Raw genomic sequence first — 14,008 nt, forward strand, 5'->3', positions numbered from 1 at the left:
AAAGGGCAGGGCTGGGACATCTTGGGGGGAGTGATAGTTGCCCTGTGGGCGGAGGTTGTTGCTGCCGTCCTGCGGGGGTTGTAGCTGCCATCCTGGGAGGGGAAGTAGCTGCCATCCTGGGGGAGTTATAGCTGCCACCCTGGGGGGGAAGTTGTAGTTGCCATCCTGGTGGGGGTTGTAGCTACCATCCTGGGGGGTTACAGCTGCCATCCTGGGGGAGTTGTAGCTGCCATCCTGGGGCGGGGGGGGGGGGTTGTAGCTGCTGTCCTGTGGAAGTTGTAGCTGCCCTACCAGGGGACTTGTAGCTGCCATCCTCGAGGTGGTTGTAGCTGCCATCCTGGGCGAGGAGGTTGTAGCTGCCATTTTGGGGGGATTGTTGCTGCCATCTTGGGGGCGGTGGTAGCTGCCATCCTGGGGGTGGTTTATAGCTGCCATCCTGGGAGGGTTGTAGCTGCCATCCTGGGAGAAGTTGTAGCTGCCATCCTGGGAGAGGTTATAGCTGCCATCCTGGGGAGGTTGTAGCTGCCATCTTGGGGAGGTTGTAGCTGCCATTCTGGCGGGGGGGGGGGGTTGTAGCTGCCTGGGAGGGGTTAAAGTTGCCATCCTGTGGGGTGCTGTAGCTGCCATCCTGGGTGTGGGGCGCGGCTTGTAGCTGCCATCCTAGAGGGGTGTGACAGTTGGCTTCTGAAGTTCCAGAGATATAGTCACTTTCTTCTGGTGCCTCCCCTGGGTACTTGCAGATGCCCAAGGGCCTTCCAATGCCCAGTGGATGGTTTGATACACCTCTCTGCCTCTGGGCAACATTTTCACTGAAAAGCTGACTGAGAAGGAGCATGAACAGGACAAATTAGTGTAAAAAACAATGAGCTTAAGATGCCAACTTGCCCTGTCTTTCTAAAAGCCTGCATGAGAGTTGAGCTATGTGTCCCCAGGCCCTTCATGGGCAGCTGCCCTGGGCAGAGATGTGAACAGCATTCCAGGGCTGGGGGAGCCAGCACTCTCAGGTGTCTTGGTGGCTGGGTGCACTGGCCGAGCCCCACGGAGGGCACTGTGGCACTGATGATTGGCAGCTCATTCCCCAGCAAAGCCACTCTGGGGATGTCTCCAGCAGTCACACTTGCAGACTCCGCAGCGGCAGTGAGCAATGGGTTCAACCAAGTTCCCTCCACCCCTAGCACAGAATACTAATGAACCAGAGCTCCCTACCACTAACAAGCTGAGGTCACCAAAACACACTGTCCAGTGAAAAGAGCAAGGCAGAAAACAAGTTGTAGAGAAAGTTACCACTTGTGTAAAAAAGTCAAAGGAAGAACTAGAAGAACATACGTGTATATTGACTTACGTATGTATAAAGGAACTCTGGGAAGATCCCTCAGAAACAGTTAACAGCAGTTACTTGTAGGGGGAGGGTGGAGGGAAATCTGGGCAAATGAGGGATGGAACTTCCCTTGGTATCTTTAAACTATGGGACTACATCAGCTACTCAATAATTAATAAGTTAAATGAAAAAGGAACGCGACACTGTAAAGACAACGAGGCTATGTCCTTCTTTGCAGCTGGTATCAGGTAAACCTACACCCAGGCCTTCTCTCCCTAAATAGAGCATTACTCTTTTATTTCAAGAGCCAATTATTGGGCACCCACTAAGAGCCAGGCCAAGAAATACTTGCAATCTCTACTACTTTGGGGAATGATGAGGGAGGAAAGTGTGTGGGGTGGGAGGAGAATTGATCTTGGGAAGTTCGTGTGGACTGACTGTGGCGAGGAGAGGGTCAGAGATCTCACTTTGAAGCACACTGACTTTGACACAACCCCCTTTTCAAAGTTCATCTCAAAAAGGATTTTAGATATTCCCGTAGGAAACACATAAAACCAATGCCTGTGCAAGATTTATTTTAAACATCAGATCACAAACTGTCCAAAAATAGTGATCAGTGTGCAATTGTGAGGTCAAACTAAACCTGAATTGAGTTTTTAAACAGTGTTTCCATGTTGGGAGAACCAAGGGATTTTCCTGAGTCAGTTGGAAGCTCTTATATACTGGAGTAGTCACGCACCCTACATCAGTAGAGAAAAATGTATCCAGTGCTCTGACAGACTGTTGCAACAATGATGATCAAAAAATATAAGGAGTGCAAAGGCATTTGTGAGTTCATATGGCTGGATTAAAAATCATGTTTAAGTGACTTAATAGCTGTGAAAACTTCCCTGTTGTGTGGGTATGAACAAGGACAGGCACGTTACTAGTATCTGAATCATGCATCTCAGCTCTAGAATCAATTGTTCTGGAACATCCCAACCAAGTCGCTATTATTCAACTGCAGGAACTTTAAACACTCAGTAATCTTATGATGCATCAAGATTTTACAATTAAAATGATGGTAACACACAGAGATGTTCAAAATCCCCAAACCAAAATCTCCCCCACTCTGTAAAAATAAACCTCCGAACGTTTTTCAGCAGAATCTCTGCAGCTGTAGTTCTGCGGCACTGTCAGTTGCCTGGGGGTTAATTCTGGCAGGGCAGGGTGATGGTCAACTGCTTGTGGAGAAAGCAGCCACAGGGGGGTTATTTCCCATTTTTCACTCTCAGGTCTCAATAGAACAGTTAAGCCATCAGGTGTACCAAATTCGAGATAAAAGTAAGTTCCTCTTTCAGCTCAGTGGAAATGAGAAGTAACTCCATTTCACCGCGAGCTTTTTTACTATTCAATCCAGACCGCACTGGCCGGGAGAGGTGCTCTGAATCCTTAGTCTAATCACATTTCTTCCTTCTGCTGAGAAGGGAGGGTCCATCCTGACTTTTTAGGATGCACATTAGAACTCTGTGTTTATTTGTGTGTGGGTGAATCTTCTGTGAGCAGCGCTATGCGCAAACCAGGGGAGGACAGTGATGGGGTCAGGACATGATCCCCCAAAACGTGGCACCTGGCATTTGAGGAAGCCACAGAATCAGGAAGGTCTCTCTGACCTTCTCCCGCCCTTCTCCTCCCAGACAGGCCATAAAACCCTCATTCCAGAGGTGCCCTCCCTCTACCCAGAGGAAGGGAAGCTCCTTATCTCTGAAGATACAGGGACAAAGAAAAGAATCTGAACAAACAAGCCTGCAAACAAGCCCCTACCCGGCCCCACCCCGGTCTATTGCCATTGGTCACATCCCTTTGTCCAACCACACTTCTGCCTGCCTGTCCACTCCACCAAACTTAGTATGGAAATACACAGGCTTCCCTGCTTCTTTGGGTTGCTTGAGGCTTTTCTCGTTAAGCTGTCTTTTGTTACAGGGGCCTCAGCCATGAGCCTTGCAGTGGGTTAGAAAAAGATGTTACCACAGTGGCTCACGCCTGTAATCCCAGCACTTTGGGAGGCCGAGGCAGGTGGATCACGAGGTCAGGAGATCGAGACCATCCTGGCTAACACAGTGAAACCCCGTCTCTACTAAAAATACAAAAATTAGCTGGGCGTGGTGGCACGTGCAAGTAGTCCCAGCTACTGGGGAGGCTGAGGCAGGAGAATCACTTCAACCCGGGAGGTGGAGGTTGCAGTGAGCTAAGATCATGCCACTGCATTCCAGCCTGGCAACAGAGCAAGACTCTGTCTTAAAAAAAAAAAAAAAAAGGAAAAAGAAAAGAAAAAGATTTCTCCCCTATGACAAGATAAGGTTCAGGTCGACATGGTCAGTTTGATGATCTACTCCAAGTGAGGGGACTTGCTACACCTGAGTCTCTGCATACTCTCTCCCCACACCAGTTAATACTGGAAGCTCTGAAGCCACTGCTCCCCAGGTCACCCTATAACAGCTGTGCTCAGACCCAGGTGTACCTTGGACTAGCCAACTGCACCACAGATAGAGCAGGGGATGCAGGCAGCCCATGAAGGAGGCCCATTCTCTTTCACCCCCTCCCTTGAACTCAGCCCTGCTGCTCCAGGGCCCCCAGAAGTGCCAGGCTCCAGGTTTAACAATGTCAGGGGCTCTGGGACCTCAGGAGGGGATGAGATTAAAACCAAAGACCATCTTCACACCATCTGCAATTAACTAACCTGCATTGGAGACCTTAACAGAGAGAAGCCACGGAGCTAGTTCCATCATTTATCTGCCAAGGGATATCCCCATTAGCATGGGGCTCCTGGCTCAGGGCAAACCTCCCAAACCCACAGAAAGGGCTCAGCTCAAATCATCACCGTTTGGCGTCTCCGTCATCCAGCACTGCCTCCCGCTGCCTCGCATCCTTACAACCTGCAAGAGAGCCAATCACATGCTTTGTTTCACTTTATTGGATACACCGGGTGTGGGATTTACAAATAGGACCAACAATGTGTGCGGGGCACAGACGGCTGCCTGTGGGTCTGTGTGTAACAGGGGCTGTAAAATGAATGGACCTCATGTGCACGTGGTACAGAGAGAAGCAAACCAAGACCAACTGGATCCCAACGTGGGTAACATAAACAGTTAAATTACTAAAGTCATCTTAAGACCAAAATACTTCAATGAAAATGGCATATTAAAAACATATAAATTACATTTAAGCTCTGTACATGATTCTTAACAAAAATAACAATACCGTGTTCTGTACAATACTGCTTCCTCTGAACATTCCAAACCCAAGAAACACTTTCCCTTGAATTCCCAAAAAAAGTGGGCAAAATACACATGGAGTATAATTAAAACCATTTCACCAAATACAAAGCTGTCAGTTTCTTTGAAGGCACACATTTTGTTGTATCTCAGGAACTCCCATTTCAGAAGCCCCTTGTCTTCCGACCCCAACAGGCAGCAGAGGGCAGCCTCCGTTCCAGCGAATCTTTGGCTGCTAAAGGGAGAATATTCTCAGCAGGGAGGCAGCAGAAATGGAGCCCCTTCATCCTCAAACCAACAGACCAGATCGGTTGTCAGGAACCTCAAGACCCGAGGTGCCTCCTCGCTGCCTTTTGCAGGCCCTTATTCCCAACGTTTTGAAATATTCACTCCATATATGACATGGAGTGAAGCTGCCACCTATTTTCTTGAAAGGCATTTGCTGCTCACTACCAGTCTACCACCAGAATCAATGTATACAGCCCTGGGGATGACCATGTGTCCTGCTCCCCAGGACGCCGTGCTGCCAGACCCCCTGCCTGGCTTGGGTGCTCCTAGGCAGGGCAGCTCTCTGTGTCAGAGGACAGAGAGGAGCAGGGCTCCACCTCACCCAGTCTGCAAACAAGCCCACTGGCCGGCGGGCTCTTGTGATTGCTGAGTATGGTGTCTTCTCAAAGGTGACTGAGGTCCCTGTGGGGTCTCGGCGGGGCTTCTATCCCCGAACCCCGGGCCCTGGTGCCACTCAAGCTTCCAGCTGGACTTGGGCCTCGTCCACCTGCAGAGTGTCACAGTCCCCCAGCAGCTCAGTCTCTGGGACAGAGCCTTCCTCCTCCTCCTCTGCTTCCTGCACGGTGCTCTGGGCCCCATCTTCTGGGGCGTTCTGTGTGTCATCAGCGCCCTCTGAGAGCAGGGCTGCCCTGTCTGCCATGGATGTGTTGGAGGGGGCCGTGGTGACGTAGCCTGTGCTGGTGGAGCCACTGCCACTGTGGTGTGAGCTGGGCTTGGGGACCATCTGAGGAGGCACCTGCTGCGGGGCCATCTGCATTGGGATCTGCACCGGGTAGAAGTTGGGCAGGTAGGCCCCATAGGCCGGCACCGGCTGGTAGCCGTTGACGGGGACGTAGAGCTGCGGCGGGGGCACCATGGGTCTGATCTGGCCCTTCATGGGGATGAACTGGGGCTGTGGGAAGGGCGGGGCCTTCTGCTTGGGCCCCACGTAGCGGGCGTTGCTCACATTGCTCACTGGGCTGGTGCTCAGGGAGCTGGTCTGCGTGGTGTTGCTGGCCCCCGAGGTCTGCGCCGAGCTGTTGTAGTTGGAAAGGTTGCCCCAGGCTCGGAGCCGGCTGTGGATGTCCTTGAAGCGGGGCCGCCGGCTGGGGAACTCGTTCCAGCACTCGATCATGAGGGCATACACCCAGGCGGGACAGTCATCGGGGCAAGGCAGCACCTGCCGGTTCCGGATCATCTCCACCACATCCTGGTTGGAGTACCCGCAGTAGGGCTGCAGGCCGTAGCTGAAGACCTCCCACAGGACCACACCGTAGGACCAGATGTCTGAGTCGATGGAGAACTTGCCGTACATGATGGCCTCTGGGGCCATCCAGCGGATAGGCAGCAGCGAGTTCCCCAGCAGCTTGTAGTAATCGGCGGCATACACCTCTCGGAAGAGGCCCAAGTCTGAGATCTTCACGTTCAGCTTGTCGTACACTAGCACATTGCGGGTGGCCAGGTCCTTGTGAACCACGTGGTGGCTGGATAGGTACTCCATCCCCGCCGCGATCTGTGCCACAAGGTGCACGAAGTCGGGGGGCTCCAGGGCGGACTTCACCGTGCGGTCATCATCGGTGCTGCCCACGTCCGAGTGCGGCGAGCGCATGACCAGGAATTCGTGGAGGTCGCCGTGCGAACAGTAGCTGAAGATCATGCTCAGGGGCTGGTCCTTGGTCACCACGCCCAGCAGGCAGACGACGTTGGGGTGTTGCAGCCGTGCTCGCAGCATAGCCTCATGCCGGAACTCCTCCCGCAGGGGCCCCTCCGCTTTGTCCTTCAGCGTTTTGATGGCCACAGCCTGGGTCTGCTCCCCCGGGGCAGGGCCGAACAGGTGACCTTTGTAGACTTTCCCAAACCGGTCCTCTCCCAGCTCCTCCATGAACCTCACCGCAGACAGGCTGATCTCTTTGAGTTTGGCCTGTCAAGAAGAAAAGCCCCACGTGAAACATCACTGTCACCGCAGCCCTGGAGGAAGCTGCAGAGCAGCCGGGAGGAGTGGAGTCCCTGTGCGGCCACGACTAGGGGGGCCTTGCAGAAGACCCGCTGGTTTTGCCCACCCAGCCTTGGCCTGCCCACCCACAGCTCTCTAGTTAACCTTAAATACGGCTCTGATGCCAAGGTTGCTTCCCATCTGCAATCTTCCACAGATCCCAACCAGGCTACAAATAAGGTCCCTCCAAAATCCAGCTGGGACACACTGACTTCCTTCCCACTTGTGCATGTGTGGACACACACACACACCCTACAGCCAGGCCCAGGCACCAGCTGCCCTGGGGCTGCCCCGGACATACCCTGCCAGGTTCCCTCCAACCCCCATGTGTGCCGACACATCACGTGAGATGTGATGTCTTTTTCTCATGGACCCCACAGAGGCTTTCCCACGACATTTTTGTCTTGGCAATTTTGTCACTTATAAGAGTCCAAGCCAGTTGTTCTACAGAGGTTCCCTCAATGGGCCTGTCCATGGGCCTCTTGACTAGGGTCTCTGTTAAACATGTTCCTGGAAAGAGTACCCCACAGGTGATAGGAGCCCTGAGAACCCTGCATCTCTCTCGGCCTCTATGACACCAGCTCCTCCCGTGTGGCCAGCCCTCATCCTCCCCAGAGGTTCCTGGGCCTCCGTGCAAGCCCCGGGGCTCTGTGCCCTCCTCGCTGGCCAGCCCCTGCCCATAGCAAACTCTCACCGACTCTGGGACTGAAGAGCCAAGTGCATCAGCTCCCTCCTGGCCACCTTGAAGAGCCCCTGCAAAGCTGGCTGAGAATGATGTTACCTACGGCTTGCAATGAGTGTAAATGCCCTTTTACAACACAACCTGGAGAGGCTGCAGCACATGTTCTCATCTGTTGTATTTCAGTGCCCCACCCCCATCTAAGGCTGCTCTGGGATGAGGGGTGGCCTTTTAGTGGTAGCCTGTCCACCTACTCCCATTTAAGAGCTATTCTCCTATCCTTCCCTGTAAACAAAACAAAGCAAAACCAACCCAACCCAAAAGTGTCAAGAAAAATTATGGGGAGCATTGGAGCCCTGTTGTTCTTGTGTGTCTTCTGGGCAGAGCTGAGGCACCTGGACAGTGAGGACACTCGCTGGGGCCCACAGGGGCAGCATGGTCCAGGCAGAAGGAGGCCCATGGACTCTGGGGCAGTGAATTCCCAACACGCCTGCCATTTATTTTCTAAAGCACACATGTCCTGATCTAGTTTACAGAAAAAAAAAATGGCAAAATGAAGCGGAGTTTAAAATAATTATGTGCTATGTATCAAGTAAATTAAGACATTTAATGTTGGGGGAAACAACCCCTGAGGATTAAACCTGGAAGAGCCACCCGGGTAGAAAATGTAAGGCATGGAGACCTGTTTGTGCTGGTTAATGAGGGGCATTTCCATGTCTTGGCTGGGCGAGGCCATCAGCTGTCGCCGCTGCGGTGTGGACGCAGATGCCTTCTGCTTATTCCGGCACATGCAAACCAAGAAGAAAAGGCAAGCGATGACCAGTGGAATTGCGATGCTGGGGACCAAGATGTACAGAATCCCCATCTTGCTGCTGTCTCGGGGACCTGTGAACAATAAGGCTTTCGTGATTTTTCAGAAAACATCCCTTTTCTACTCTAAGTTCTCTACCAACCCACTCTCCACCTCCAGCCAAAATCTTCACGTGCACGTGTGTCATCACCTAAGTTACACAATGGGGTAAAAGGGCACACCACACCTTAAAAAACATGATGCACCAAAAAATGCACACCCGGCTGCATCCTGGGGAAACAAAACCCAAAACTGCCCAACCTGGAAACAAGCGGGAATATGCAGTATAAAAAGTAAATGAATTCTAATGATCTTAATAACGACCACATCCGCTTTCTGTTCCTGATGTTTGAATACCATCGGAGATAGGTGCTCTGCCCAATTTCACTTTTATCAAGGTCTCCCCAGCTACTGACAAGTTCATGAAATTCACTGGAGACCCTTGTCCAAGGTGAGTGAAACTTGGTACTGGGATTAGACACGATCCTTTTCCTCATTCAACATTTTAATGTTTTCTTCACATTTTTATCTAATGATGACAGATTCTTTTAGGGTAATAATTAAACATGCACTAGATTTAAAAGAGCACCAGTAGTCCATGCTCTTGACCCAATACAATATGCAACAGGGGCACAAGAATTCTTGGAAAGCACTGGGTACCAAGATTCAAGGCCACCAGCTACCTTCCCTGCATTTTTTTTTTTTTTAAATCACAGGGAAAAGTAACTCTTTGTCTCCCTCTACAGGATTTACAGAAAGGTACAGGGGGCACACCAGGCAGGCTGAGGTGACCTCAGATTCTGAGCAGGACTCCAGGCAGGGCTGGCTCCTCCCAGGCTGCGTGGCCCCAAGCACCCCACACGTCAAAGCAATTGAATGTAAGACAAAGTGGTGCCGTTTCAGGACGCTGACCCTAAGCCTGGTGGAAGGTGAGTTCTCTAGAGAGCCACTTTCCCACATCCCCAGAAAACCACGGTGTTCTGTTTTCTCCTTAACCTTGCAAATAACTATATCAGACTTAGAGGGCCCCATGGCCAGGGGGCAAAGCGCTTCTCATCTGGAAGCAAACAAGTGATTTCTGGTCAGTGTGAGGCCTAAAAGAGCTAACTCGGTTCTAAAAGTGAACATGCTACTGCCACCTTAGGAAAAAAGCACCTTGTCCCAAAACCCAGCCTTGCCCCACCCCTGCTCCCCCAAATAAGAAGAAATCAAGTAAAACCACAAACAAAACTTTCTTCTGGCCCCACCTAGCAGCTTCCCCTCTGAAAGGGTTCTGAGGCAGGTGTTCCAGAAATCTTCGGGGCACTGGGGATGCCGATTCATTCTTTTTTACTAGGGTTTGGTTCATTTTTCATTATTAAGGTTAGCAGGAGAGTCCAGGCCACTCTCACGCCAAGACCAGAGGTGTGAGCTCACACTGACACCATCACCTGCTTTTATTATCTACTTAACATTACCAACATGACTCATGCTTACTGGGAAAAACTGTAGTATTACAGAAATGTGGCCTTTCAAAAGATAGTATTTCTAACAGTCCTCTTTCCCAAAGGCTATAAATGGTTAAGTTTCGTGTTCTCCTAACTTTATGTATATTTTAGGTTGAACCACATGGAACAACCGATATTCAACTATTCTGACATATAGACACAGTAGTTTTATATGGTTTTCTTAATTCGAATGTTGAATGAACTTTATTTTATTTATTTTTGAGACAGAGTGTTTGTTTATTTATTTATTTTTGAGATGGAGTCTCGCTCTATCTCCTAGGCTGGAGGGCAGTGGTGGGATCTCAGTTCACTGCAACCTCTGCCCCCTGGGTTCAAGTGATTCTCCTGCCTTAGCCTCCCGACTAGCTGGGATTACAGGCGCCCGCCACCATGCCTGGCTAATTTTTATATGTTTAGTAGAGACAGGGTTTTGCACTGTTGGCCAGCCTGGTCTTGAACTCCTGACCTCAGGTGATCCGCCTGCCTTGGCCTCCCAAAGTGCTGGGATTACAGGCGTGAGCCACCACACCCGGCCTAAATGAACTTGATTTTAAATAGAATCGTGTCATCCATATTTTCCTGCTCCTGTTTTTTTGGCAGAATAAAATCTCTTGGACAGCAGCTCATGTTGGAGCAGATAGATATGTGTGTTCTCCCACAGCTGCATGCCACTCCACAGCACAGGCGTCTCCAACTGCCCCATCCAGCCCTACTGATAAACAGTCTGTTTTATGTTTAGCTCTCACAAGTGATTCTGCAATAAATATCCTTCCATTTATGCCCTGTAAGTACAAACCTGCGATACAAGATTCTAAGAATTGACTGGTCCAAAATCATACATTTTTTTCATGCTTTGATTTATTTTTAATTACAAAAGTAATTCCTACTCACTGTAAAAAAAAAAAAAAAAGTCTTGTATTTGAACACTTTTGTAGGTCTGGGGAAATCACTGCTAAAAGTTTGATATCCATCTTTCCAAAACCTCGTAAAAGTCAGGAGCCTGTGTGTGCTCACACACAAACTCCCACTCATTTTCCTTTTGCCAGAAACAAAACAATAAGCAAAAAAGCACCTCTAACACAGTTCTGTCCTACAACCTGCTTTTGTTCCTTACAGGGCACAGGGCCATCCTTCATTGCAGGACAGCTTTAAGGTCTGGAGTGCTCCAGAGTGCCTAGACCGCAATTTGAATGACTGATAATTTCATTCTTAAAATTTGTTCTCCCATAATGAACACATTCTTGAAGATTTGTGTCTGATCTGCTGAGCCAGAGGCAATGCCAAATCTGGAGCTGCTGAATCACACATCAGGAAGGTCATTAGTGCCAGTGTTTATTTCCTGCACTTCGGAGTAGAGACACGCGGGCCTGCACCCCAGGAGGAGATCTCCAGGTGCATGGTGAGCCCAGCCTCGCTTCACCGGCTGCTCTCTCTTTATCCGCGGGTGCCCACTCATTCACCAATTGCTGCTTCCAGCTCCCAGCCCAGCCTTGGTTACCCTGCTGCCTGGACTGGTGAACCGGGCATGACTAAGACAGAGGTGAGAACTGTCGAAGCTGTCAACCATCAGCCACGTGAGCTTCCATATTCATGACATTACAGACACACTTGCAAGGAATGAGGACAAGCAATGAATTCTATTTTCGCCTCACTCCACCAAACCTAAGTGTAAAATCTGAGAAGCAGTGAAAAGCTCAAAAGCTGGTGGGTGGAAGGGAAATATTTTTACGAATATTAGGAACTACTGAGCAATAATGGTGTTTTTTGTTTTTTGTTTTTGAGAAAAGGTCTTGTTTTGTTGCCTAGACTGGAGCGTAGTGGCACCATGATGGCTCACTGCAGCCTTGAACTACTGGGCTCAAGCAATCCTCCCACCTCCACCACCCAAGTAGGTGTGCCACCACGCCTGGACAATTTTTGTATTTTTTGTAGAGACGGGTTTTTGCCATGTTGCTCAGACTGGTTTCAAGCTCCTGGGTTCAAGAGATCCACCCGTCTTGGCCTCCCAAAGTACTGGGATTACAGGTTGTGAGCCACCGCACTGGGAGATAATGTTAATGGAGAAACAAAATGTCAAAGTGAATATCCCAGGACCATCCATACATGGGAAAAGGGCTGATGGAAGGGGGTGGGCCAAAACGCAAACAAGTCACTACTGGGTGGTAACATTAGGGGTGATCTGACATTACTCTTCAGACTTTTCTATATTTTAAAATGTCTTGTAATGGTCAGATGTTACTTTCATAACAACCAATAACTTGCGTTATTTATTTATTTATTTTTGAGACAGGGTCTCACTCTGCTGTCCATGCTGGAGTGCAGTGTCACAATCTTGGCTCACTGCAACCTCCGCTTCCCAGGCTCAAGTGATTCTCCTGCCTCAGTCTCTTGAGTAGCTGGGATTACAGGCATGTGCCACCGCACCTGGCTAATTTTTGTATTTTTATGGGGTTTCACCATGTTGACCAGGCTGGTCTTGAACTCCTGACCTCAAGTGATCTGCCCACCTCGGCCTCCCAAAGTGCTGGGATTATAGGCATCAGCCACTACGCGTGGCCCAACAGCTTTATTTAAAATGGTCACTGTGGTAAGATCAGGGGTCTCTGGTCGCCACCGTACAGAGGCACACCCCAACCCAGGTCAGGACAGAACGCCCTCATCACAAGGTTCACTCAACAATCAACACATTAAAAAAAGAGAGAGAGAATACATACTACACGAGGGTACGTCACACAGTTCCATGCGTACGTTTTTATTCTGCGTAAAGCACCAGGGGCCCTCCATCTGGCCTCCGGGGTTCCGGCAGTAGGCGTGCCCCCCTCCAAGCTCAGGGAAGTCTGTGCTGGACAGGTGGTGGCTGTGGGGGTGCTGCAGGGCCCACGGCTGGCACTGGTGGCCTGACTTGGTGGTGCTTGCCGTTCCTCTGTAATCCATGCCTGAGCCGTTATAGCACTGATGGTCTGAACAAGGAAAACACGTTAGGAAAACCTCCGGGGTACAACAAAACCATTCTGCCTACACATGCCCAAACTAGAATTTCCAAAAGATCCAAGGATTTTACATAACTTACCAGAAAAGAGGCATTAAAAGTAATGGCTTAATGAAGTCCCAAGCCCACAAATTAAATGCAGGGCACATCAGGGATAGGCATGGGGAAGGAAACTTGTCTAAAGTTATTCCACAGCCCCAGAACCATCTCTTGGGACCCACGAGGCACCTGCACACCACCACCCCACCAGAATGGGGATGTCTCCCCAGCCTCAGGATCAACTTGCTCTAGGAAGAAAGCCAACTGTGCAAGCAAGAAGGGCCTGGCCCCTCCATCTCAGGACACCCTGCTCAGCCATGGGTGAGAACAGTGCAGGCCACGCCACCTCCATGGAGGAACCCTGGGGTTGGGGTGTGCATTTGGTGAACATTTCTGTAGTGTTTACCATGTGTGGGGCGCTGCTCTAAACCCTCCTGGCTGGGGCACCGTGGCTAACAAGGCGGGTGGATCACTTGAGGTCAGGAGTTCAAGACCAGCCTGGCCAACATGGTGAAACTCCGTCCCTGCTAAAAATACAAAAATTAGCCAGATGTGGTAACGCACGCCTGTAGTCCCAGCTACTCAGGAGGCTGAGGCAGGGGAATCGCTCGAACCTGAGAGGTGGAGGTTGCAGTGAGCCAAGATTATGCCACTGCACTCCAGCCTCAGTGACAGAGTGAGACTCTGTCTCAAAAAAACAAAACAAACAAAAAAACCACCTTCCTAAATATTGCCTCATTTGACCTTCATTTCAGCCCCACGGGTTAGTACTGGTGTCATCCCCACGGAATATAAGGATATGAGAGCTTAGCAACTTGTCCAGGGTCACAATGAGGGTCTGAATGCAGGCAACGGGCCCAAGGACCAGGCCCTGGCTGGTCCTGGTAAGGAGTCCTGGCCATTCCTGGACCCCCAGATTAGCCAACGATGCTAAATACAGCCCCGGAGCTGTGGCGGAGGTGGCCCGTTCCCTAGGTCTCACTCCTCAGGGAGGCAACAACCCGTATGGATGCAGTGATGTCAGCCAATGGTTTTCCTCGGAGACATAAGCAGCGCTCCCTGTCCTGTGTCTGCCATCCTGACTGGCCATGGCCACCCTGCTGGGGCTCACAACTTGGGGTTTACTAAGCCT

General features: G+C 50.5%; 1 protein-coding gene across 10 annotated transcripts in view, besides 1 other annotated feature; it reads right to left on the reverse strand.

The window, feature by feature from the left end:
- Window positions 1,364–1,533: an enhancer, noted in NCBI's record as "experimental_109450 CRE fragment used in MPRA reporter constructs". NCBI's record gives its function as "activates a minimal promoter by MPRAs in K562 erythroleukemia cells, with activity observed for both the introgressed and non-introgressed 9:94482078 variant alleles {active_cell/tissue: K562}" and the evidence as "EXISTENCE:reporter gene assay evidence [ECO:0000049][PMID:34662402]".
- ROR2 (receptor tyrosine kinase like orphan receptor 2) overlaps window positions 4,254–14,008 on the reverse strand; it is a 227,628-nt gene continuing 217,873 nt past the window's right edge. For 8 of the 10 annotated variants that reach the window (NM_004560.4, XM_005252008.5, XM_047423436.1 and 5 more), the window contains 3 exons: window positions 12,563–12,808; window positions 8,194–8,396; window positions 4,254–6,760 (listed from right to left, as the gene is read on the reverse strand). In NM_004560.4, the coding sequence (NP_004551.2) occupies window positions 5,315–6,760; window positions 8,194–8,396; window positions 12,563–12,808 (1,895 nt within the window). In that variant the 3' untranslated portion in view covers window positions 4,254–5,314. Of the gene's footprint in view, window positions 6,761–8,099; window positions 8,397–12,562; window positions 12,809–14,008 lie in introns of those variants that run through there. The other 2 variants (XM_005252009.4, NM_001318204.2) reach the window with 2 other exon arrangements.

This window comes from Homo sapiens, chromosome 9, assembly GCF_000001405.40.
Source record: "Homo sapiens chromosome 9, GRCh38.p14 Primary Assembly".
NCBI lineage: Eukaryota > Metazoa > Chordata > Mammalia > Primates > Hominidae > Homo > Homo sapiens.